At 39.4% G+C, this 26,087-nt stretch overlaps 2 protein-coding genes and 1 pseudogene across 16 annotated transcripts in view, besides 6 other annotated features; all 3 read left to right on the top strand.

Annotated features, from left to right (window-relative positions):
• The window catches only part of UBE2Q2 (ubiquitin conjugating enzyme E2 Q2), a 57,632-nt gene extending 41,815 nt beyond the window's left edge, over window positions 1-15,817 (top strand). For 6 of the 12 annotated variants that reach the window (NM_173469.4, XM_005254788.3, NM_001284382.2 and 3 more), the window contains 4 exons: window positions 5,174-5,222; window positions 5,658-5,753; window positions 11,734-11,800; window positions 14,166-15,817. In NM_173469.4, coding sequence (NP_775740.1) covers window positions 5,174-5,222; window positions 5,658-5,753; window positions 11,734-11,800; window positions 14,166-14,197 — 244 coding nt within the window. In that variant the 3' untranslated portion in view covers window positions 14,198-15,817. 12 annotated transcript variants of the gene reach the window in all.
• Window positions 9,779-10,041, top strand: RN7SL510P (RNA, 7SL, cytoplasmic 510, pseudogene; annotated as a pseudogene).
• Window positions 17,785-18,444: an enhancer, noted in NCBI's record as "H3K27ac hESC enhancer chr15:76195387-76196046 (GRCh37/hg19 assembly coordinates)". NCBI's record gives its function as "activates a minimal SCP1, AML or CMV promoter by ChIP-STARR-seq in primed H9 embryonic stem cells {active_cell/tissue: H9 hESC(primed)}" and the evidence as "EXISTENCE:reporter gene assay evidence [ECO:0000049][PMID:30033119]".
• Window positions 18,269-18,358: an enhancer, noted in NCBI's record as "active region_9865". NCBI's record gives its function as "activates an Ori minimal core promoter by ATAC-STARR-seq in GM12878 lymphoblastoid cells {active_cell/tissue: GM12878}" and the evidence as "EXISTENCE:reporter gene assay evidence [ECO:0000049][PMID:35858748]".
• Window positions 18,445-19,102: an enhancer, noted in NCBI's record as "NANOG-H3K27ac-H3K4me1 hESC enhancer chr15:76196047-76196704 (GRCh37/hg19 assembly coordinates)". NCBI's record gives its function as "activates a minimal SCP1, AML or CMV promoter by ChIP-STARR-seq in primed H9 embryonic stem cells {active_cell/tissue: H9 hESC(primed)}" and the evidence as "EXISTENCE:reporter gene assay evidence [ECO:0000049][PMID:30033119]".
• The window catches only part of FBXO22 (F-box protein 22), a 38,634-nt gene continuing 31,163 nt past the window's right edge, over window positions 18,617-26,087 (top strand). For 2 of the 4 annotated variants that reach the window (NM_147188.3, NM_012170.4), the window contains exons 1-2: window positions 18,617-18,842; window positions 19,230-19,368. In NM_147188.3, coding sequence (NP_671717.1) covers window positions 18,703-18,842; window positions 19,230-19,368 — 279 coding nt within the window. In that variant the 5' untranslated portion in view covers window positions 18,617-18,702. Of the gene's footprint in view, window positions 18,843-19,229; window positions 19,369-20,314; window positions 20,397-26,087 lie in introns of those variants that run through there. The other 2 variants (NR_037623.2, XM_047432382.1) reach the window with 2 other exon arrangements.
• Window positions 18,719-18,818: an enhancer, noted in NCBI's record as "active region_9866". NCBI's record gives its function as "activates an Ori minimal core promoter by ATAC-STARR-seq in GM12878 lymphoblastoid cells {active_cell/tissue: GM12878}" and the evidence as "EXISTENCE:reporter gene assay evidence [ECO:0000049][PMID:35858748]".
• Window positions 18,839-18,888: an enhancer, noted in NCBI's record as "active region_9867". NCBI's record gives its function as "activates an Ori minimal core promoter by ATAC-STARR-seq in GM12878 lymphoblastoid cells {active_cell/tissue: GM12878}" and the evidence as "EXISTENCE:reporter gene assay evidence [ECO:0000049][PMID:35858748]".
• Window positions 18,939-19,008: a silencer, noted in NCBI's record as "silent region_6686". NCBI's record gives its function as "represses an Ori minimal core promoter by ATAC-STARR-seq in GM12878 lymphoblastoid cells {active_cell/tissue: GM12878}" and the evidence as "EXISTENCE:reporter gene assay evidence [ECO:0000049][PMID:35858748]".

The raw sequence follows: 26,087 nt of genomic DNA on the forward strand, positions 1-26,087 counted from the left end.
CGTGCGCCACCATGTCCAGCTAATTTTTGTGTTTTTAGTGGAGATGGGGTTTCACCATGTTGGCCAGGATGGTCTCTATCTCTTGACCTCGTGATCCGCCTGCCTCAGCCTCCCAAAGTGCTGGGATTACACGCATGAGCTACCGCACCCCACCTAGTGGTTTGTTAATAGATGTTTGTTTTGAGGGGACTGCAAGGTTTTGGGAAACCAGGTTCAGAATATCTTTTACCAAAGGACTTCTTGGAGGCTTAATGCTGTTTTCTATTTTTCCCAAATTTGTTTAATAATTTACACGATAGCATCTCAGAGGACGGTGTCCTCTGGCTTACTCTCTGGGAAAGGCTGTTCTTTTGGAAATCTGGAGTTCTGAGTGATTCCCATGTGTTTTCTGCTGCAGAGCAGGAAATGCTGAAGGATTCCTTCGTGAGCAGATGTTAGAGGTTTCCTTTTGACAGGTGGTTACAAAGTTGATCACAAATATACTATCACAGTGAGTGGAAATCCCAGGTTGGGTGTGAAATAGTTGTTTAGAATTGTGTACAGTTTTCTTTTGTTACCTTTAAAGCTTCCGTAGACTGTTTTTGGATCAGGCAGTAAAATTGCTATAAAAAGTACTTCTTTTGTCATAAAACCTCATGATCAGTTTTGGAAGTGGAATGTTAGGTAACCCAGCCAAATATTTACATATACAAAATAAACACAAGACTGAAAAATAGTAAATTTTTAACCTTTCTCTTGCTGACACCACCAGTCTTTTACTAGCCACCAAGTCATAGTTCTTACGTTTTTCATAGTTTAATGTTAAAATATCTTTAACGAAGCCTTTACTGATTGGGGAGAAATGACATAACTATTGTGTTTTAGTTTTTTTTTTTTGAGACAGAGTCTCACTCTGTTGCCCAGGCTGGAGTGCAGTGGCGCAATCTTGGCTCACTGCAACCTATGCCTCCCGGGTTCAAGCCATTCTCCTGCCTCAGCCTCCTGAGTAGCTGGGACTATAGGCATGCGCCACCATGCCCAGCTAATTTTTGTATTTTTAGTAGAGACAGGGTTTCACCATGTTGGCCAGGCTGGTCTCAAACTCCTGGCCTGAAGTGATCCACCCACCTGGGCCTCCCAAAGTGCTAGGATTATGGCATGAGCCACTGCCTGGCCAACTATTGTGCTTTAGTTTTATGTGCTTGTTTATAAAATTGTGATGTTTACTCAGTATTCCCATAAGCATGGGAAAAGGAAGACAGGTCATTTTTTGTTCAAAATCTTATTTGAGAGAAAAAAAAGATCAAGGAAAAGATTTGGAAGAAATTTGCAAATTCAGAATAAATATATAAAAACATTTTTATCAGCCAGATGTGGTTGCTCACGCCTGTAATCCCAGCACTTTCGGAGGCCAAGGCAGGTGGATCATCTGAGTCAGGAGTTTGAGACCAGCCTGGCCAACATGGCAAAACCCCGTCTCTACTAAAAATACAAAAATTAGCTGGGCGTGGTGGTGGGTGCCTGTAATCCCAGCTCATCGGGAAGCTGAGGCAGGAGAATCGCTTGAACCCAGGAGGTGGAGGTTGCAGTCCAGCCTGGGCAATAGGGCGAGAGTCCGTCTCAAATTTTTTTTTTTTTTAATCAGAACATTTTAAAATGTGATTATAAAATTGGCCAGTATAGCTTTTCAACATTTTATTGTAAGAATTCTAAGAATTTAAGTTCATGACCTTAGTTTACCACCTAGAATAGAGACAAATATTTTATGCATAATGCCATTTTCAGTTTTAAAATCTGTTACGTAGTTTCTTAATTGATTCTTTTTTGCCACAGTGTTATTGTTCTCATTATTCAAATGAGTAATTTGAATAAGTCAGCTTGTGACCTACTCAAATAAATCTTCTGATTCCTAATAAAGTGTCTTTCATTATACCAAAGCCAGCTATATAAGAGGGGATTAAAAGTACTAAGTACTCCATTGATTATCAAATGCTAACCATGGACTTAATTTATCAGAGGTTTAAAGCAGCAAAGAGTTGCTGTGGCAATAGTGACCTGAAGACTTCATGAAGTAGGTGAGATCCCAGCTGGGCAGTGAAATGTGAGTGTCGGGTTTGGTCAGCTGGTGGAGGTTGAAGGAAAATGATTTACATAGGTGAAAAGTAAACACAATCAGTTATCTAGGAAAGAGAATGAGATACTCAGAGTATACCAGACCAGTTTGAGCTATAACACAAGGAGGGTAGGACTCATGTAGAAGAGTTTTAGGAAATAGTGCTGATGTAATATCTTGTACTTAAACAGGTCTGTGGACTGGCCACAGATCTTTTTTTTTTTTTTTCCCCCTCTGCTAAGTAGACTATCACCCTGGCTATTCATCTTTCTGTATAACTGGTTGAGGAACAGGGGAGTGACAGTAAAGAAACTATTGTAAAGTAAATCTGGTGACAGCAGAAGAGAATATGAGACACATTGTGCTCACAGAGCCTAGAAGAGTGTGACAGTAGTTGAGGGCCACGCTGTTGTCTTAGAGTGAAGTGAGGAGAACCTACATTGGTTTGGTAGTCATGGGAGTGGAAGGAGGAATGAAATGTGAAAGCTCATTGGAGGCAAAATCAAAATGGCTTGCTCTTCATAGTCAACTATTAAGTGAGGAGGAGGAATTATTTGCTGACTTGGGAAGAAGTAAAAGCTTGCCATCTCAATCAGGGTAAAGCTTAAGCATTGTGTGATTCTAGATAGATTATTGAGCAGTTTTGTTCTATGTATTTCATATCCCATATCTTCTAGTTATGACCCTACTTCTTTATTTCTTGACATAGCCAAACATTTTTTAAATTAACAGCTTTATTGTGATACAGTTTATATATGATAAAACGCTTCGAAGTGTACAATTTGGTGGTTGTTAGTATATTCACAGAGTTGTGCAGTCATTACTACTACCTAATTTCAGAACATTTTCATGACTTCAAAAAGAAACCCCGTACTGATTAGCAGTCACTCCCTGTACCCGTTTCCCCCACCATTGATCCTGGCAACCTCTCATCTAATTTTTATCTCTGTAGATTTGCCTATCTTGGACATTTCATATAAATAGAATCATATAAAATGTGGCTTTTTGTGACTGGTGTTTTTTACAGTGATTTTTAAATCAAATATCTGAAGAGGCTAAGCTTAGGATAGTGTTTGCTGTACAACTTTGGCAACTGAACTTTTTTAAAGTTGAAAATACAGTATTACTGTGTCCATATATATGGCATGTTATCCTTAGATGACCCTTACTTAGATCATTAATGTTTTTTTCCTTAGTATTCTTGAACTGTCTCAGTATTCAGCAGGAACCCTTTGGAGGCAAAGAGCAGTAAGAATTTGGAACACTTGTTGACAAAATGAATGTAATTTAATACAGAAGTAGAATCGGCCACTTTTAGGTGTCGATGCTGCTGAAAGTGTATATTAAGGAAAAGTTTAGTTATCTTACTTTTTGTATAGGTACTAGAACTACTTGTCTTGTGTTCAACAAACATTTGTGTAGTTATTACGTACTTGTACAAATGCACTTTTTGACCTGAAAATCCAAAAACTCCCTTTCTTCCCCCCACCTCTTAAGACTCTGCATCCTCAAAGGAAGAGTGGGGTACCTTAAAGGAAAGGTGGTTGTGACTGGATAACAGGTAAAATGTCTACTGTAGACTTCCTTTTCCCGAAACAAGTTCCTGTCTACCATCAGCATTTCCAAAATTTGAAGATTGTGTTTGATGTTAACTCATCAACCGATTATTAAGCTTTCAGCAATTGTGGAACCAAAATCTAAATGAGTACCTGGATCTTCTAATTCTGTTAAATCAGTGAGTGCACATTATATACAATACTCTTTTAGCCCAGTAGGAGAGTTAAAGAGTGGAAGATAGATTTCTATGTTTCAGAAATAGAATACACAAAAAAAAATTTAATCCCATGAACCTTCGCCTGAATTTAAATTTTTGGAGAGTTTTTCTTTTAGATTTTCTTTCACTTTTAGATTAATCTTTCACTTTGAAAGGTCCCAGGGTTTGGGCAAAGCAAGTGGGGAGAGACACTTGCTTGGATTCTCCAGGATGGGGGAGATGAAAAGGACTTCTTTCCCTTATTTTATTATTAAATATTGTCACTGTAACAATTATTAATGTTAGTGGTCTACAGTAAAAGTTTTTAGATGCCTTGTCTGCAAAGTAATTTGGTTAGTTGACACAAAGATGCCTTTGGTTAACTGGAATGGAAGATGTGCAGGCTAGAGTGGTCTTGGCAAGTCTTCTGGGGGGAAATACAGCATTTGGAAGGGTAGGAAGCAGTAGGAATCTCAAGCAAGGGAAAGGCATGGGCAGAGCCCCGGAGGACAGAACAATTTGTGGTGGACTTGGTGTCCACACAGACCTAATCAGTGGTCTTAGCTTTTGTGTTTTCAAAATTACCACAGTTTTTGTTCTAAAACTATCATTCCCTTGATTTTTTAAGGCATGATATTTATGTATTTTGAAATTTAAAATAACATTGAAGGAGAAATGAAATTTTGTTTGAGAAAGATAAAGGTTAAAAATCGTTATCTAAGTAATGATTTTCTAATGGGAGATTTGGTACATCCCCAGAAGTTATCTTTTGTTCAGAGAATAGTCTTCAGGCCTAGAAAGAGCTTAAGGGAGTCCCAGAGAGAAGCTCCATGGTCAGAACCATTTGATTCTCACAACAGAATGGGTAAAAACAATTTGAACCATAAAACCATACAGATCTTCATAGCATGGATAGGGTAAGGTCAGTGTCATTGTCAGGGGAAAAACTCATGGCTGTAACATGGTAGAGAAAGTTTCAGATGTAAAGAACACGTGAACGCCATTTAAGGAAACTGATTCTTCTGCCCCTATTCTTTGGAATATTTAGGGCTAAGTTCTTAATTACTGATATCATACAAATCTGAAAGTATTATGTTCTAAGAACCATTAGAAAAAATTGACTAGAATTTCAGAGGGATTACATTAGCATGATAACATTAGAATTTTTAAATTACCCATAGTCCTGTATCCCTAACAACTGTTGTCATGTTTGCATGTTATTTTCTCATCCTTACTTGTGTGCATATTTTCTTGGTAATGGCACTTAGAAATTGTTTAAGGAGGAATAATTCTCGAGAATTTTGTATGACTCCTTTTTTCTTTTTAAGGTATGTATTGGGTGGAGGAGCATTATGTATGGAACTTCTCACAAAACAGGTGACTTTTCTTACGATACTCCATTTTCACCCACAATTTAGTGTTTTGATCATGTAAATTAGATTGTAAGTAGAAAATTCTTTAATAGCTCCTACTCTTAAATTTTAGTTTATTTTTAAAATAGCGTCTACTTTCAAGAATGAAAAAGGTAAACCAATAAAATGACATTGTACTTGGTGCTGAATCTATGCTAGGATAGGCATTAAGAGTGACCTTTATTTAAGGTTCTAATTTGCTCATGTTGGGCACTTAGAACATTGGTTTGTTGTTTTTTTTTGTGAGATTCTGGAAATGTTCCAATTTTACTTTTTCCCCTTGACTACAGTCTTTTTAACACTGATTTGCTGCTGTTGAGTTATATACCATTTTGTTAGGCCTTCCCAAGTGGGAATCAGAAATACTACTGTATTTTAGAGATACTTTGTTCTTCTGTAGGGCTGGAGCAGTGCCTACTCAATAGAATCGGTCATCATGCAAATAAATGCCACCTTAGTCAAAGGCAAAGCCAGAGTGCAGTTTGGAGCAAATAAGGTACTTCTGTTAAGAATTTTACATAAACCATAAGATACATTTTATATTACTTTATAAGCTTTCTTCCTGTCTTGACTTAATTCTTTTTTGAGATAGTTTCATTTTCATTTGGTTTGTTTTCTTCTTGTTACAAAAGTGATCTATAGAAAATATGGAATTATAAGAAAATTAAAGATACTAATTGATAATCACTTAATGATTTCGTATCTGTTTTTAGTCTGTTATATTTGCTGTAGATAAACATTATAAGTTTACAGTTGTAAACAAAAACTTATTTGTAAACAGATGTTTACAGTTGTAAACTTATTATTAGTATGTATAGTGTAGTAAATTAAAAATTATATGTACTTTGAAGTTTTAAAAAATTGAGTTCATGTTATAGAACTAATTCCTGGTAAGCTTTTATGTGCTAGGCTCTAGTCTTTTCATTTATTTTTACTTTTTTTTTTCTCTGTGCCTATGCTTACCAAGTTTTTTTTTTTTAAATCTTTTTATTAACTCAATCCTCTTAATAACTTAAAAAATAGGTGCTATTATTATCTGCATTTTGTAGATGAGGTAACTGAAGCATACAGAAGTTAGTTAGATAACTTGTCTGAGGTGACAAGTGGCAGAACAAGGATTGGAACTAGACAGTCTGGCTGCCCTAGGCCCAACCAAGAGGAGCTGAGAGCAAGCCATGGGACATAAGGATGTTGTTCAGGCTGGTTTTCTTTTCAGTTAACCTGAAGCATAGGCTGTAATGTTAATTTTAGGACATTAGTGAGACAGCCTTCCAAAGCCGGAGGTTTGTTACCATGACTTTTAGCAAGAATTTGTGGTTTAAAGGCAAGATGGTGCTTTATGAAGCTTCCATTCACTATGGAGGGAATGGTAGTTGAGTTAAATAGTGAAATCCTGGAGCACACAGTCTTTAGGGCAGCTTCTGACCTATTTCTATGATCAGGAAAGGCATCTGTCTTTCCCTGCTGCCCATAACCTCCACTTATTCTCCCACAGAATCCCCTAGACTGTGATCACATTCAGAAGAGAGATCTGTTTTGTTTTTTCCAGGGTAGGAGGAAGTGAGTCACTACCTATACTAAGCAGTCTAGTCTTCTGTGTATAAATGAGCAAGGGTGGGGAGCCAGATCTCTTGGAGAATCTCAGGATTGTGCAAGATGGTAAAGTGGTCTCATGTTAGTTGTATCCACAGCTGTCATCAGAAGCAGACACAGATACTTTTTGTAGGAAAGCATCTCTAATTTAAGCCTGTAGGATTCCCAAAGATTAAAAGAATTCACTCAAATCATAGCATTCAAATAGTCAACCCAACATATTTGAGAATTGTCAGAAATAATAAATAATAGATATGTTTCCCAAGGACAGTAGGTTTTGGAATTATCAGATACAGAACACAGACTTCAGATATTAGAATTGTGAGAAAATAGTTATATGTGAAATCTAATATAAAGAAAAAAAGATGGAATCATAAAATTGAGCAAGCAGCAAGACCACCAGGAATGATGAAGAAGACCTGAAAAGAAAATGGATGAAATAGAACTTACAGAAATTAAAAAATGTAGATGGGTATGGTGGCTCACGCCTGTAATCTCAACACTTTGGGAGGCCGAGGCAGGAGGATGGCTTGAGCCCAGGAGTTGGAGACCAGCCTGGGGAACATGGTGAGAACTCGTCTACACAAAAAATACGCCCCCCACCCTAAAAAAACAATTAGCTGGGTATGGGGTACCTGTCTATAGTCTCAGCTACTCAGGAGGCTGAGGTGGGAAGATCACTTGAGCCCAGGAGACCGAGGCTGCACTGAGGCATGTTTGCGCACTCCAGCCTTGGTGACAGTGAGACTCTGTCTCAAAATAAAAAATGTAATTGTTGAAATAAGAAACTCAGTAGATTAGACACCAGAAGAGAATTAATTGATTAGATGATTATCTCAAAAAAATAAGTTAGAATGTTACACAGAGAGACATGAGGATAGATGATAGGGCAGAAGTTGGTGGGGTTGGTGGGGAGAGATCAGAATGAGGTCTAAAATATGTCTTAGTGGAATCCCAGGAGGAGATATTAGAATTACACTAGAAAGTGAGAGAAATAGAAGTTGTAAAGGTGATAGAAGCAAGTCTATATAAATCAGTCACAACAAATGTAAATGGACTAAAGTTACCAGTTAGATTGAATTAATAAAATCCAGCTGTTTTAATCTATATATTTAAAATATGAAGGTACAAAAAGGTTGAAAGTTTTTATAAAGGAGAGTGATAAAGATATGCCAGTATACATTAACTAGAAACAAATGATGCAGCTTTAGTATCAAACAAAATAGGATTCTGGAACAGAAAGCATTAGTAACAATTTGATAATAAGTGTTAATTAGGAGGATATAGCAATTTTTGTATTTTATGTACCTATCAGAATAGCCTCAAAATACCCAGGAAAAACTGATAAAACCACAGGGAGAAGTTGACAAGTCCACCATCACAGTTGGAGATTTCAACATACCCTGTGTACTACTAGTAAGATAAACAGAATGCCCATATGTAGATTTGAACAACCAGTGAACAGGCATGGTATAATAGACAAATATAGACCTCTGTACCCAATAATTAGATATAGATCGTTCTCAAGCATATATGGACTATGGGAGAAAAATTAATTATAGATCCATAAAATCAGACGATTTAAAAACAGTTGGTACCATACATACCATATAATTTAAATATGAAGCAATTAAGGTTAGAAGGCAATAATGAAGAGATTAACAAAAAGCTATGTGAATTTGGAAATTAAACACACTTGTAAATCATAGTTTTAAAAAGTAAAATGAAATTTTAAAATGCTTAGAATTGAACCATAATTAAAATTACTAAAATTCTATCTATTCCTTTCTCCCCTCCTCTCCCTCCCTCTTCCTGTCTGGAACATTCAAGAAGCTAATCTTTTTCAATGAACAACACTTCAAATACTGAAAAACAGAAAAGGACAGTGTCATTCTCTGATCTTAGTTAAATCTATAAGTTAATAATAAAACCAGAAAACAGATACTTCTTTCTGGAATTGTATAACTCATGCAAACAGCCTTTAGGTCAAACAGGGATTTGAAATTAAAACTGCAGAATATCTAGAGAATAGCAATAATGCAATCATTACTTATCAGAGACTAAAGGAGAGCTCAGAGGAATGTTCATTGCCAAATCCTTGTGCCATTAAGAAAAGAATGAAAATGAATCAAGCCTCTGATTGTTAGAAAGGACAATAAAAAAAACCTGAAGGAGGCCAGGGACAGTGGCTTACTCCTATAATCCTAGCACTTTGGTAGGCTGAGATGAGTGGATGGCCTGAGCTCAGGAGTTCGAGACCACCTTGGGCAACATGGTGAAACCAATCTCTGTAAAAAAAACAAAACAAAACAAAACATGAAAATTAGCTGGGCATCGTGGCAGGCGCCTGTAGTCCCAACTACTCAGGAGGCTGAGGTAGGAGAATTCCTTGAACCCAGGAGGTGAAGGTTGCAGTGAGCTGAGATCCAGCCACTGCACTCTAGTCTGAGTGACAGAGCAAGACTCCATCTCTTAAAAGAACCTGAAGGAAAGCAGAATGGGGAAATTATTAAAGATATACAAGCAGAAATCAGTGAGTTAGAAGAATAGGAAGGGCTAGACCCCCAGTACAGTAAAGTCTCTGCAGAAACATTTGTTTAAACTGGGCTTTTGAGTACCTTGCTACTGATAATTGAGACTGGGGAAGGCCAACATTCTTATTTTCTCCTTGTATTCTGGGTGGTGGGCAGTAGGGTTGGAAAGTGACTGCTTCACAGTCATTTGGGAGTTTCAGGGTATGTATAGTTTTTACGTCCAGTTTGTTTCTTTTATTTTTGTCCTTTTTGTGAAAGTACTAAAACAAAAACTTTTTTGCCTGTAATCCCAGCACTTTGGGAGGCCGAGGTGGGCGGATCACAAGGTCAGGAGATCGAGACCATCCTGGCTAACACGGTGAAACCCTGTCTCTACTAAAAATACAAAAAATTAGCTGGGCGTGGTGGCGGGCGCCTGTAGTCCCAGCTACTGGGGTGGCTGAAGCAGGAGAATGGCGTGAACCCGGGAGGCGGAGCTTGCAGTGAGCCGAGATTGTGCCACTGCACTCCAGCCTGGGTGACAGAGCGAGACTCCGTCTCAAAAAAAAAAATTTTGAGATGGAGTTTTGTTCTTGTTGCCCAGGCTGGAGTGCAATGGTACGATCTCGGGCTCACTGCAAACTCTGCCTCCTGGGTTCAAGCGATTCTCCTGCCTCAGCCTCCCAAGTAGCTGAGATTACAGGTGTGCTCCACCACGCCTGGCTAATTTGGTATTTTTGTAGAGACGGGGTTTCTCCGTGTTGGTCAGGCTGGTCTTGAACTCCCAGCCTCAGGTGATCTACCTGCCTCAGCCTCTAAAAGTACTGGGATTACAGGTGTGAGCCACCGTGCCTGGCCGGCTTTACTATTTTAAAGAGCTCTTAGATGTTGAAAAAGACTACCCTGTAGAAAAATAGGAAAAGTCCTTACATAAATTTAACATGTTAAAAAAAAATAGGAAAAGGGGGTATAAAAAGTCTGTTTACAGAAATAGAAATAAATGGCTCATGAACATAATGGAGACATGCTCAGTCTCACTCAATAGAAATACAAATCAAAACTATACTGGGAGTCCATCTAGTATATTGTCAGAAATCTACAAATGTTTGAAGTACTGCATTGGTGAGGCTGCATCGAGGCACTCTTACAGATGGCTGGTGGGCAGACACATTTGTGCAGTTATGTAGAGGGCAATTTAGCAATATCTCAGAATTACACATATATATCTTTTGACACAGCAGCTCTACTCTAGGACATTTTTACCAGTACTCAGCAGATATACGTACAAGGTTGCTCTTGGCAACATTATAACAGCAAAATATTGAGAAACCCTGATGTCCACCAATAGGGGACTGATTAAATATTTGAATATCCATATAATAGAAATATTTCAGTGTTTAAAACAGGTATGTTCTATACTGATAAGGAACATTCTCCAAGATATGCTAGACAAGAAAAGGGGCAGACCAGTGTCTGTAGCATGCAACTGTTAGTGAAGGAAAGCCAGGGACAGTGGCTAATAACAGTGGGCTGTACATGAATAATCTTAAAGAGGGACATACAAGAAATTAGTAATAGTGGTTAACTTGTGTGGAGGAAGGGGGATGAACGGGAGGAAACTGGGTGTTCAGGGCACCAAGTAGGAGGGAGAGTTTTCACTTAGGATGTAGACATTTTTGAGTCTTGTGCTGTGTGAATTTATTATGCAAAAATTTCTGCCACATAATATAGTGGATAGATGGGTACCACTATGGAGAGTGCTCCTGGTATATTAATTCGAAGCGAAGATATAGGTTGGTTGTACTTATGGTGACAAAATTAATCCTAGATTTGGCTCCTTAAAAAGATTGTATATTTTTATCAAAAGAGGGCTCCTTTAGTAAGCATGGTGACAATTATGGGCATTCTTTAGATTTCTAACTTAAAATGTCATTCATATGTATAGTTGTGGAAGCTTAATATTTTCTTATCTGAAAGTAATATTTTGTAGTTTTTTTAAAAATAGAAATTGTGTGAAGACAGTTTGAGTTTTATTAACATCCAGATATAATCCTTTAACTTGATTCAGCAATATGGAGACGGACTCTAGAACCAGAAAGCTTTGTACTTGTCCAATGGTAGGAAGACTTATAAAAATGAACTGTGAGGCTTGTTGAGTTTTATTGGGGTACAATTTTGGTTTTGTTATTTTTATAAAATTGTAGAGAATAATGAAACTGAGAAATGAGGCTATTAAGTTAAAATTGTTTTTGAAATGGAGATAGTCAGTTTCCCATGTTCTTTTAAGCACAGTGTGATGCATTCATAAATTTATTGTAATAATTTTCACCTAATTACACTTTTGATTTAAAATGTGTAATTCTCTTTCAGAATCAATATAATCTAGCAAGAGCCCAACAATCCTATAATTCCATTGTACAGATACATGAGAAAAATGGTATGTTTAATTCAATAAGTGTTTATTGCCATTTAAGAAGTTTTAGATAATGTATTAATACTTACCATTTTATTTTTCTGTTTTTGCTTTAGTTTCTTAAAATGCTGTTACCATGGTGAAAGAAACTTGTGCTGCATACAAAATCTTTATTTATTTATTTATTTATTTTATTTTATTTTATTTTATTTGTTTTTTGAGACGGAGTCTCGCTCTGTCACCCCAGCTGGAGTGCAGTGGCACTATCTCAGCTCACTGCCAGCTCCGCCTCCCAGGTTCATGCCATTCTCCTGCCTCAGCCTCCCGAGTAGCTGGGACTACAGGTGCCTTTTTTGTATTTTTAGTAGAGACCGGGTTTCCCTGTGTTAGCCAGGATGGTCTCGATCTCCTGACTTTGTGATCCGCCCGCCTCGGCCTCCCAAAGTACTGGGATTACAGGTGTAAGCCACTGCACCACAAAACCTTAACATTGTACTTCAGTCAAAATTTTTGTATCCTATACACTTGGCCTAGGTATCTCAGAGTCAGAATCAAGATTTCTTTTTTTTTTTTTTTAGTAGATTAATGAATGACTCACTTTACTTACTTGAAATATTAGGAACTGAGTTAAAGGCAACTCCTTACAGATGGAGTTCTTGTTGTTATAACTGGAGTGCAGTGGTTGTTTACAGGCGTGATCATAGTGGACTGCAGCCTCAAGTTCCTGGGCTGATGTGATCCTCCTGCCTCAGTCTCCTCAGTAGCTTGGACTGTAGGCACAAGCCACCATGCCTGTAAAGTATTCTTTACTTTGCTAGAAATGTGTCAGTTTGTGACTTAAGATTTGTGTTTTGTGCTCATTTATTTTAATGACAAAGCAAACTTGTCACTCTTTCAGTGATTGCTTACTTATGGAAATAGTATTCAAAACAAAATTTTCAAGCAGAAGAGAGAAACGATAAAATTTGAGGACAAGGCCAGGTTTTCATAATAATAATTTCTAGCACACAAAATTAGATCCAAAGAAACCTGTGTACTACTTTGATACTTTATAGATCTTGGCATATTCATACTATTCTAAAGTTTCATACTAAACAGTACTTAGTCTAATTTGCCTTTTTATAGAGAGCTTAGGTTTTTGCGGAACCTGGGACACAGATTTCTTCTTATCTTTGTTTTTATTTCTTAACCATTACAACTGGCATTCAAAAAATATTTATAGAAAATGCTGTATTTGAGAGTGTGTGGGTATGTGTAAGCTTAGCTGTGATGAAAGAGTAATAGAGTCAGAAGCAGGGGAGATGACTTCTAGGGTTTTGTTTTTTTTTAAATCTTAAAATTTTTTTGTTATTTTAAAAAAATAGATATTATACTTACTGTGTACAAAGTTTTGAAGTATACATAACTGTGGAATGACTAAATCTAGCTAATTAACCTAGGCATCACCTTACATAGTTATCATTTTTATGGTGAGACACTTTACATCCACTCTTAACATTTTTCAAGAATATAGTATATTGTTAACTATAGTCACCATGTTGTACAATAGCTCAAGATGGATTCTAGTTTGGCCTGCTACTAACTCTGATTTTAGGCATAGTCATTTAGTCATTGCACCTGCTGCGATGGCTTCCTTGTCATTGTGAAATGACGTTATGGCTCCGATAACAGTCCAAGTTCCTTGTATTCTAAATCGCCAGGATTTTGTTTGGGGAAATAAGTACTTTCCATGAGGCTTACTTTCAAGTATAGAACTGAAGTGGAATAAAACTTATTCTTTTAGTCTAATATTCCACAGTCATCTTTAGCTAGAGATGCCATTAATACAGAGCTCTTGTGTTGAAAACTCAGGTACAATTTATTCATAGAAAATAACTTTCTGTTGTGAAATAGCAAAATGCAGTGTTCCCAATCCAAGTGTAAGTTTAATTTTTAGAGTAGACTGGGTGCAGTGGCTCACACCTGTAATCCCAGCACTTTGGGGAGGTGGAGGTGGGTGGATCACCTGAGGTCATTAGTTGGAGACCAGCCTGACCAACATGGTGAAACCCTGTCTCTACTAAATACCAAAAAAAAAAAAAAAAAAAAATTAGTGGGGCATAGTGGCGCATGCCTATAATCCCAGCTACTTGGGAGGCTGAGGCAGGAGAATTGCTTGATCTGGGAGGTGGAGGTTGCAGTGAGCTGAGTTTGCGCCATTGCACTCCAGCCTAGGTAACAGAGTGAAACTCTGTCTCAAAAAATATATATATAATATATATATATATTTTTTACGGTAGATTTTAAACACCAAAATTATGAAAAGAGACTGTAGCTAACCTTATTACATGCCAGTTCTTCTAATTTATTTAAGAATTATTTTAACTTTTTTTTTTTCATTCTATTTCAGGCTGGTACACCCCTCCAAAGGAAGATGGCTAAATGTGTTGACTGTTGTATGTTTGGACTAATGTTGCTTTAAAGAAAATCTTTCTAACATGCAGACAAAAGCTTTGAGTGCCCCTATTACAGCAGTACCGAAGATGTTAGTTAATAGATATTTTAGTGGATAATCTGTCATCTGACATCCAGTATAAGTTACAGCCTTTGCATTTTGCTCATTTTAGATATCTTGGACTGAGCAGTGGGGCCTTTACTGTATTTTTCCTGATAAATACACATACTGGCCACTCCTTATCTCTTTTTCTTGAAAAGTGAACTTTTTAAAGCAGCCAAGTCAACATCAGGCTACTGAAGTTGAGGCTTTAGGGTAACTTTCCTATATTGAGCCCATGGGTTACAAGGATTTGCAATATATTGTTCCATTTACAGCCAATACAGGTTTAATCGATGTTCAATATTGGTTTAGGAAATTTAAGGCCTTCTAAATCATAATAGCTCTTTCATGTCTAAAACCATTTTATGATATTGCCAAAATGTGATAGGAAACCTACTCATTAAATTGTTAAACTTTTTAATGACTATGTGAAGATATGAATTGTTTCCTGAAGATAATACTCTTAATTGAGTTGTATTGTACTTCTTAGGCAAAGCAGTGTAAAACTGTATCAATTAAGGCTTGTGAGTAGTGATTTCCACTGGGGCATCAGAGTCTTGGCTGGGCTGAATCTGCTGCTTGTTGGTTCAGTGTTTCTTATGAACAAGAGCCACAGTACAGAGCTTCAAGTTATTTAAAATACTAAGTCATCTTACGTTTCCATTTTATTAACGGGATGTTGCAATCGTTTGTAAACTAATAAACTTATAAAGTGATTGGCACAAAGACTCCTTGAGCAAAAGCTGTGCAGTTAAGTACAAAAAGATACTTAATTTGGAGACTCTTACAGTAATTTTTGCCATGTCAAAACAATGGCTTTTACATTGAAAGATTAATAGAAACTCTACATATGTTAATTTTTTTATAGAACCTGACTCAAATCAAGGTACTCTCCATTTTATTGCCTTACCTGAATCAGTCCTTTTTGGTTGGTAATAGATTTTTTTATACACCCACGTTTGATTTAAAAGTAAATTCTAGTTCTTAAGCACTTTTAACAAATCCAGAAGCACATTTTTCTGCACAAACAAGTTACAAAGTTCAAAAGTGTTTCTTGTGCATTAGCTTTGAGATTCAGTTTTTAACTTTGTAAACCACATCTGAGAGACTTGTCATTTCTACATTGTGTGTGTTTAATTTCTTTTGATTCCATTTTGGTTAAGAGAGCAGTAAATAGATTTTCTGGTATTCTTGTTCACTTGATTACATTTGTATAAAGTTCTGATTGCCAGTTGCTCAGATAACAAGTGACAAGGCAGAATTCTTTAAATCAGTAAAGTTCCTTAAGCCTAAGGCTAAATCTTGAATACATTGTTGAATTCTTTAATATCCTGATGGCAAGCAGACTGATAGCTGCACATTTGGCATGCTTTGTTTAATGGATTTTATTTTTAATTGCAGATTTATTTGGCAATGTACAGTAAATTTTGTAAACTTGCATCAAGTTTATGAATAAAGAACCATTTAAAAATTTTGTTTGTGCTGATCATGGCAAGCAAAAAAAAGATTACTTTCTCATTTTTCCCTCATAAGAAAACTCTGCTTGATGTGTTTGTAGGCTTTATTGAGTTTCTGGAATAAGATATTTAAGGAGGGAAGTGGTGAGGGGAGGCTTGGAAGACAGGCAGATTTAACAAGAGAAAGTGAAAGTGTGAAAGAACCTGGAAATAGTCTGTACAATAGTCACCTTTTCCTCCGCCTTTTTCCTCTTCCATTCTCATTATAAATTCAAGTGCTACTTTTTCCTTATGGCTATCCTTAGTTCCCCCAGTGAAAATAATCTGCTCCTTCCTTAGCATACCCATGGCCTCCTTGCACACAATTGACAGATTATTTCACATACAAGAAGTCCAGAGGTAGGACAACTCCAGGTACTGTACATCTGGGCTTTGCTCTGCTTCCTTGAGATTTTTCTATGTTGGTTTCATCTTTTGGTTGCATGTTATGTGCAGCCCCCTTACTTGATCCAGAGGTAGATAAATGGCCCTGTCTTCTAGTGTCTCCTTAGGAGGTGAGGAAATCTCTAAAAGCACCATCCCATCAAGCACACTGCCTCTTGCCTTTCCTTGGCTACATCAGGGACCTGTGCCCACCCCTAAACCAATGGTGGTGAAAAGAATGAAACCATCGTGATTAGTTTGCACAAATGGTTCTCAAAGCCTTATTTGGGGAACACTGGAGACCCCTGAGACCATTTCAAGAGGTTTTAAAAGACTATTTTCATAATATTAAAACATTTGCCATTTTCACTCATTCTTCCATGTGTACAATGGAATTTTCCAGAGGCTACATGATGTGATTTTGCAACAGATTGAATTCAGAAGCAAATATGAGAATCTATTTGTCTTCTATTAAGACAAATTAAATATTTGCAAAAATGTAGTGATGCCGTCACTGGTAAACTGTCCTCTTTCCCTACTTTATATCAGCCACAAAGAAAGAACGCCCACTTTGAAAGGCAGTCAGGTTTCATTCAGTAGCCAGAGAATGGAGAAGGGGAGCTCATACTCTAAAGGCACCTTCTCCCAGAGGGATGGGAGGCTGGGGAGTTTAAAGAGTTAGCTGAGGGGCGGGGGAGGTATGAACGGCATGCACAGACTGGAGTTCCAGACAAGCAGGCATAGTCCCTGAACATGCTGCTTCATACATCCATGTTCGTAAGATGCCAGTGAGCTTTCTTTAGGGAGAGGATTTTAGCATTATGTTAATTATCTAAAGGTAACTGGAGGGCGCCTGTTTATCTTCCTCTGGTATTCCGCAAGGGGTCAGGAAGCTCTGGTGACATCTGGGCCATCTGGCTTCCTTAAGCAGCTGCGCCTATAAATAGACTATGGGAAAAAACTGGCTGGGCTTGGTGGCTCATACCTGTAATCTCAACGCTTTGGGAGGCGGAGGCAGAGGGATGTCTTGAGGCCAGGAGTTTGAGACCAGCCTGGGCAACATAGACCCTGGGTCTACCAAAAAAAAGAAAAAAACCACAGCTACTCAGGAGGCTTATGCCACTGACAATGTCATACTATCCACCAGTGGGGGAAGGAGGATTTGGGAAATAATTGTTTTCCATAAAAATATTTCGTTAATGTATAACATCGGTTTTTTAAAAAGAGTTAAGCATTAAGATGTTCTGATTTAATTTTTAATATGGTAAATATTGATAGTCATAACACACATAAACTATTGGTCGTGTCAATATTTTAGGGTGTAAAGGGTCCTGAGGCCATAATGAGAACTGCTAATTTAGACCAAGTTTCTGCCCAAGATCTGGCGATCAAATCAGGGCTCCCTTAGGAAGGAATTGGCGGGAGGAATGGATGTTAGGTGGGGACAAACCTGTGTCTGCTGTGCTTCCATTTCTTGGTGGTTCTCAGTTTGAGCATGCATCAGAATCGTCATAAAGTGTGTTAAAACAGATTGCTGGGCCTCACCCCCAGTGTCTGATTCAGGAGGTCTGGGATAAGGACCGGGAATGTGCTAAAACTTAGTAGTTTCCAGGTGAATCTGATGTCCCTGGCGGGGAACTGGTGCACAGCTTGGGGCGTGCTTCACAGCAATCATCTCACTCAGCTACCTTAGAATGGCAGGTGCTATTTATGCCATTTTACTCATTCGAAACTTTAAACCTGAAGATTACAACGAGTTAACTAAGTTTACAAGGAATAAAGGCAGTGATTTTCACACACTAAGACAATTTTTTAAAAGCAAACGTCCGTTTATAAATCGAGCTTATGCTATTTAAACAGGCATTGGGACTACGAAGAGCAATAAGTACTACCTAGTCCCTGCAAGGAATTTGTGAATTAGAGAAAGATGTAAACTCAGAAATATGGCGGTGCCAGGGCAGTGAGAGGCACAGGCACAGAAGAAGAATTTATTTTCACTGCAGGAGGCCTCCTAGAAAGTTGCCAGGAGCGGTGGCTTATGTCTGTAATTCCAGCACCTTGGGAGGCCCAGGCGGGAGTATCGCTTGAGCCCTGGAGTTTCAGACCAGCCTGGAAACCCGTCTCTACAAAAAATACAAAAATTAGCTGGGCGTGGTGGCGGGAGCTTGTAGTTAAAGCTACGAGGGAGGCTGAGGCGGGAGGATCGCTTGAGCCTGGGAGGTAGAAGCTGCAGTGAGCAGAGGCCGCGCCACTCCACTCCCGCCTGGCCACAGCATTAGACCCAATCTCAAAAATGAAGAAAACAGTTCCGAGCGTATTACGGAACGGAGTACACCTCGGAGTACGGGCTCCAGACGAGGGAACGCACCGGCGTTGCCACGCCCACCTTCCCCGTCCAGCCGGAAGTGGCGCGGACGCCTGCTCAGTGCGCGCCGGCCGGGCAACCCTATGCTGGCGTAATCGGGTTCCTCCGAGCCGCCGTAGGACTGGTTCCGGCGGGCTGGTGAGGAATGGAGCCGGTAGGCTGCTGCGGCGAGTGCCGCGGCTCCTCCGTAGACCCGCGGAGCACCTTCGTGTTGAGTAACCTGGCGGAGGTGGTGGAGCGTGTGCTCACCTTCCTGCCCGCCAAGGCGTTGCTGCGGGTGGCCTGGTGAGGAGAGGAGGCGGAGGCGGGAAGCTTGCCTGGGGACACGCCGTGGGCATGTCCCAGGCTGGCGGGGTGGGGGGAGAGACCCTTGGGACCCACCAGGGCCGTCCCCGGCTCGCTCGCCCTACCTGAGGTGACCCCCTACCCGCGAGGTATCTCCCAGCCGTGGTGCCCCGGGGGGACTTCCCTGAGGGGCGAAGTTCCCCTTAAGGTTTTCTCCATATCTGGCTCTTCTTCCGAACTAGCGCCCTGACTGACACCTACCTACCCCGGGGACTTTGGATCCCGCAGGGATCTCCTGCTGCTGCGCCAGCGGGTGGGGGTTTGTGAGCTGTGGGAGAGACGAAAATGAACGTCCGTTCGCAATCCTTTGTGCGTTTGCGTCCTCAGCGTGTGCCGCTTATGGAGGGAGTGTGTGCGCAGAGTATTGCGGACCCATCGGAGCGTAACCTGGATCTCCGCAGGCCTGGCGGAGGCCGGCCACCTGGAGGGGCATTGCTTGGTTCGCGTGGTAGCAGAGGAGCTTGAGGCAAGTAGCAAGGGGTGTCATGCACAGTCATTTGCAGGTTGGTGGTTCAGTCTTTGAGAACTATTTTTTTTTAAATCCCAGTTTTGTTAATTAAAGGAACATCTCGTTCCGTGAAAAGATTTTGTAAACATCAGTTTTAGTGACTACACGGTAAGGATGTGTCATGATTTATTTGACCGTTCATCAAATGTTGGGCCTTTTTTTTTTTTTTTGAGACGTAGTCTCGCTCTGTGGCCCAGGCTGGAGTGCAGTGGCGCGATCTCGGCTCACCGCAAGCTCCGCCTCCCGGGTTCACGCCATTCTCCTGCCTCAGCCTCCCGAGTAGCTGGGACTACAGGCGCCCGCCACCATGCCCAGCTAATTTTTTGTATTTTTAGTAGAGATGGGGTTTCACCGTGTTAGCCAGAATGGTCTCGATCTCCTGACCTCGTGATCCGCCCGCCTCGGCCTCCCAAAGTGCTGGGATTACAGGCGTGAGCCACCGCGCCCGGCATGTTGGGCCTTTTAAGTATCCACATTTTCACTATTAACAACAACGCTGTGCAGAACCTTCCCTTCACCTGCTTCCCTTGAAGCAACTTTTTGTTGTCTGTTTTACCGGGAAGACAACTGGGTGTGTCTTGCTCAGTGAGCACACCTAGAAAGCCAAGAACCAAAACTTAAAGCCAAATATTTCAACTTCTGATCCTGTACTCTTTTGCTTCTCTGGCCCCCAACTTCAAAAGGGGAGCCAACACCAGGAGAGATGAAGACTCGAACTGTGGAGTCAGAGGGGCTGCAGGGTGTACCATCTCTGGGGAGTGGAAGGGAACCATTTGACAGTAAAGTGCCAACCTGCTGCTCTGTCACTCTGTTTACTTTAGTACGGCTTACAGACAGACATAACTACGGTGCAGCCGTCACAATCAGGAAATTATCACTGATACATTTCTACCATTTTATCCTCAGACTCGGTTCAGATTTTGCCAGTTGTCCCAGTAAGGTTCTTCATGGCAAAAAGATCTGTTCCCAATTGCAATTTGCTCTGAGTAAGTCCTGTTTCTTTAATCTCCTTTGATCTGGAACAGTTTCTCAAGCTTTGCTTGATTTTTCCCAATCTTGACACTTAGGAAAATCACAGGCTATTTTGTAGAACATCCATCAATTGTGTCTTTGGCAGGAAATAATCACAGAAGTGATGCTGTGCTTTTTTCACGGCATACTTTAGGTGGCATGTGATTTCCATTCGTCTTGTTATTGGTGGTATTACCTTTGATTACTCAATTAAGGCGATGCTTGCCAAGTGTCTTCACTAAAATCACTCTTCTACTGTAATGATTGTTTTGTGAAGAGATCATTTGAAACTATGTAAATATCGTGTTTCAATTCATTTATTTATTTATATCTGTACACTCTCGGAGTCTTATTTAATTCAGTGGGATATAATCTGTTACTGTATTTTGGTGCTCAAATTACCCCTCTCACCCCCTAGTTTGGCTAGTAGGAGCTCCTTCAGGCTGGCTTCAGTGTCTTTTTAGAGATGACTCCATTATCTTTGAGCACTTTTCTTGTTTTCTGGCACAAGATGTTCTAAGCTTGTCTTGGGTTTTACCTGCCTTGGTCCTGGAATTGGCCATTAAGCCCTGGCTCCTTTTGATGGAGTGTGGTATTTAGAAATCAAGGTCTAGACTCTCTAAGTGTACTCCTTGCCATTGAGGGATTTGCTGCTCCAAAGCCCAGTCATTAGAGCCAAGGAATATAAGTATGTATATACATGCATGTGTATGTATATACATTAGTATATACATATACACACATTTACAATTATATTTCTATATATATGTGGAGGCTCATGAGTTCACACAGGTGCATCCTTTTCGAATCAAACGCAGGATGCTTTCTAGTTTTGTCTCTGCTCATATTTGTACCTCCCTTTTGGGCAAAGGGAAACCTGGTTCTCATCATTCTTAATGTATTTAGATATTACATCAATGCCCCATATGTAACCAATCTTCTGTTTCCCCCTTCCTTGGGTGGTCTTTCTCCTTACCTTGTTTGGGCTCTGGAACTCTCATTCCAGGGAGCTGGCCAGTATCCAAAGGCAGGCTTGTAGAAAACTTTTCTTCTCTGGCACTTTGTCTCAACTCTTCCCATTTTCCCAGAAGTTTATCATTTGGAAAAATTCAAAATGCAAGCAGATTTCCTCGAAAGTGTTCTCTGGAGCATCGTTTATAATAAGGGATACTAAAAACCTAATGTTAATCTAATAAATAAAGCTATTAAATTATAGACTGCAAATGCATTAATGACAAGAGAAAATGTTGATTTTAAAAGTGAAAACAGATTATGAAATTATATATTTAGTATCATCTGAATTATTAAAGACAAAAAAGGGAGAGTAGAAAAGAAAGCCAAAATGTTAGCTTTTTTTTCCATTTACTGTTTTTAAAAAGTTTTCTATGGTTTTTAAAAAGTTTTCAAATTTTTACCACAGCAGGCATGATTTTTCTATAGCTTTAAGAGTTTATACATTGTAGTGGCTGTTAATAGCCAGACAGACTTAGTTGTGAACCATAGCTTTGGCATATACCAGCGGTGTGACTTTGAAAAAGCTACTCAACCTCTCTGAGCCTCAGGTGCTATCTCCATAAAATAAAAAGAAAAATAATAATTTTCCTATGCCCTTATAGAGTTGTTGTGAGGATTAAATAATGAAAAGGTAATGCATATAAACATTACTTACAATACCAGGAGCATAAGTTCTCAATAGATGTCTATTAAATATTCTTTTATTAGTATCATTATTAAAGTTCACATAGTTATAGTAATGCCCTTAGAGGAGTTCCTCCATTGTAGTAAACTGCTGGTGAGACAAAAACATGAAAACTCTATCCAAATCATACGTGCTGTTTATTTGTGTTTTCCAAGTTATCTAGTGGACATGGGTACTTTTATAGCCATAAAGAAAGTTGATTTAACTTTTCTATTAGAAATATTTTAAAGTCCGCCAGGCATGGTGGCTCATGCCTATAATCCCAGCACTTTGGAAAGCCGAGGCAGGCAAATCACTTGAGGTCAGGAGTTAGAGAACAGCCTGGCCAACATGGTGAAACCCCGTCTCCACTAAAAAAATATAAATATTTAAAAATATCAAATATATAAATAAAAATATTAAAGTACAAAAGTTGGCTGGGCATGTTAGTGCAAACCTATAATCGCAGCTACTTGGGTAGCTGAGGTACCAGAATCGCTTGAACCAGGGAGATGGAGTTTGCTTGAGCTGAGATTGCACCACTTCACTCCAGCCTGGGTGATAAAGAGTGAGACTGTGTCTCAAAAAAAAAAAATTTTTTTAAAGTCCACCAAAAGCTTTATAAAACAGCTTGCCATTTGTAACTTCTTTGAACAGTGGAATGTGGTGTCAGCTGTCTTAACTGTGCTTTGAGAACATTTCATATTGAGGCTTGTTATGTCACTACTTCTAGTGTGAATTAGGAAGGAAAATTCAGCAGTTGCTTTTCAGTGGATGCCTCATAAACTCTCAGGACCAGACTTTTAATACTTGTTCAGGAGTAAGAAACCTGAGGCCTAAAAGCTTGCTGAGGGTTATTCTGCTGGTTTGTGGCAGAGTTGCCACTAAGACCTAAATCTGTTTTTTGTTTTGTTTGGTTTTTTTTTTTTTTGAGACAGAGTCTCGCCTGTCGCCCAGGCTGGATTGCAGTGGCCCGATCTTGGCTCAGTGCAACCTCCACCTTCCTAGTTCAAGTGATTGTCCTGCCTCAGCCTCCTGAGTAGTTGGGACTACAGGCGCATGCAGCCATACCCGGTTACTTTTTGTATTTTTAGTAGAGATGGGGTTTCACCATGTTGGACAGGCTGGTCTCACCCTGGCCTCAGGCAATCCACCCACCGTGGCCTCCCAAAGTGCTGATATTACAGGCGTGAGCCACTGTGCCTTGCCCGTAAATCTCTTTTTCTGTCTCCTTTACTCACTATACCAGGCATCACAGATTCAGATGACTCGAAGGTCAGGCAGGTAGCTGAAGAGGGTCAGGTAGCTCAATAGTCGTAGCACCATGGCAGTCTGGAAAGGCTTGCCTCCGTTTAGCCTTAGTTAAGAGGCACGTAGTCTAAGTGTTGCCAAAATGTCCAGTTTTTAAAAAGAATCTGGAAATCCACATTTTATGTAAAAATTCGGTGGAATTTTGAACATTGGCATTCAGTTTACATTTTCTGAAAATGCTGTGTGGACCAAGGAAACTATATCCGTAGGTCTTGGGCAGCCCTGGGCCCCACAGGCCATCATGCTATCTGTCTCTTTTATTAGTTTATCTATGTAGAATGTATTCTGAAACATCTTGGCATTCCCTCAAATTATAATGGACCAACTTTTTTTTTCCATTTAACTAACAATGAGGCTTTGCTATATCCTAAGTACTTCATTTTATTCTGGTAGTAAAAAATATTTGAAAATAGCTAGCTTGGAAAAATATATCATCCTTTTCATTTAATTCAGCTGCTTTGCCGCTTGTCTTCAATTGGAAAGTTTAGTTGAAAACAGGTGAGTCTGAATAAGCCCAGCTCATAGGGGAGATAGGGGACAAATAAGATTAACTAGGGGTAAGGGATGTTGCATCTGAGGTCCAGAGTACTGAGGGAGTTTAGGAAAAGGTTTTGGAGAGGAGGTGGCACTTAAGGTGTCTCTAGAGGGAAACAGTCTTAAGTTCCACAAGAACAGAGCAATAGAACATATGGGGAAGTCGGTGTGTCTGGATAATATTAATAGTAAGCTAAGGGGCCCTGAAGGAAGCCTTGCTGGCAAGCCTGGAAATGGAGGCTTGGAGTATTTGATTTGATAAGCAGTGAAAAGGGAGTGATACAGCCTGTATACCTTCCCCAGTGCTGAGATTTTTCTGATACTGTGATGCCTGTTCAAATAAAGCAAGTGCATCTTTTGCTGGTACTTGATGTTTTTGTTCTAAGAGCTTCAGTTATCATTATGAAAATGAACTTTTTGAGGGCTGGAATGAAGAAATTATAGGTGTTTAGTAAATGAACTGAAAATGAAAGAGCATGAGTGAAAAGTAAATGAGAAGTAGATTGACTCAGAATGCCAACATTGACCTGAAAGAAGGTAGGGTACCAGCAGTTTGGATGGGGTGATACTTTTTTTTTTTTTTAAATTTCTGCGATACATGTGCAGAACATGCAGGTTTGTTACATAGGTATACACGTGCCATGGTGGTTTGCTGCACCCATCAACCCGTCATCTACATTAGGTATTTCTCCTAATGCTATCCCTTCCCTAATCTCCCACTCCCTGACAGGCCCTGGTGTGTGATGTTCCCTTCCCTGTGTCCATGTGTTTTCATTGTTCAACTCCCACTTATGAATGAGAACATGCAGCATTTGGTTTTCTGTTCCTGTGTTAGTTTGCTGAAAATGATGGTTTCCAGCTTCATCCATGTCCCTGCAAAGGACATGAGTGCATCCTTTTTCTATGGCTGCATAGTGTTCCATGGTGTATCTGTGCCACATTTTCTTCATCCAGTCTATCACTGATGGGCATTTGAGTTGGTTTCAAGTCTTTGCTATTGTGAATAGTGCTGCAGTAAACATGCATATGCATGTGTCTTTATAGTAGAATGATTTATAATCCTTTGGGTATATACCCAGTAATGGGATTGCTGGGCCAAATGGTATTTCTCTTTCTAGATCCTTGAGGAATCACCACACTGTCTTCCACAATGGTTGAACTAATTTGCACTCCTACAAACAGTGTGAAAGTGTTCCTGTTTCTCCACATCCTCTCCAGCATCTGTTGTTTCCTGACCTTTTAATGATCGCCACTCTAACTGGCATGAGATGGTATCTCATTTTGGTTTTGATTTGCATTTCTCTAATGACTAGTAATGATGAGCTTCTTTTCGTATGTTTGTTGGCCACATAAATGTCTTCTTTTGAGAAGTGTCTGTTCATATCCCTCGCCCACTTTTTGATGGGGTTGTTTTTTTCTTCAAATTTATTTAAGTTCCTTGTAGATTCTGGATATTAGCCCTTTGTCAGATGGATAGGTTGCAAAAATTTTCTCCCATTCTGTAGGTTGCCTGTTCACTCTGATGATAGTTTCTTTTGCTGTGTAGAAGCTCTTTAGTTTAATTAGCTCCTATTTGTCAATTTTGGCTTTTGTTGCCATTGCTTTTGGTGTTTTAGTCATGAAGTCTTTGCCCATGCCTATGTCCTGAATGGTATTGCCTAGATGTTCTTCTAGTGTTTTTATGGTTTTAGGTCTTACATTTAAGTCTTTAATCCATCTTGAGTTAATTTTTGTATAAGGTGTAAGGAAGGGGTCCAGTTTTAGTTTTCTGCATATGACTAGCCAGTTTTCTGAACACCATTTATTAAATAGTGAATCATATTCCCATTGCTTGTTTTTGTCAGAGTTGTCAAAGATCAGATCGTTGTAGATGTGTGGTGTTATTTCTGAGCCCTCTGTTCTGTTCCATTGGTCTGTATATCTGTTTTGGTACCAGTACCATGCTGTTTTGGTTACTGTAGCCTTGTAGTATAGTTTGAAGTCAGGTAGCATGATGCCTCCAGCTTTTTTCTTTTTGGTTAGGATTGTCCTGGCTATACAGGCTCTTTATTGGTTCCATATGAAATTTAAAGTAGTTTTTTCTCACTCTGTGAAGAAAGTCAGTGGTAGCTTGATGGGGATAGCATTGAATCTCTAAATTACT

Source organism: Homo sapiens, chromosome 15 (assembly GCF_000001405.40).
Source record: "Homo sapiens chromosome 15, GRCh38.p14 Primary Assembly".
NCBI lineage: Eukaryota > Metazoa > Chordata > Mammalia > Primates > Hominidae > Homo > Homo sapiens.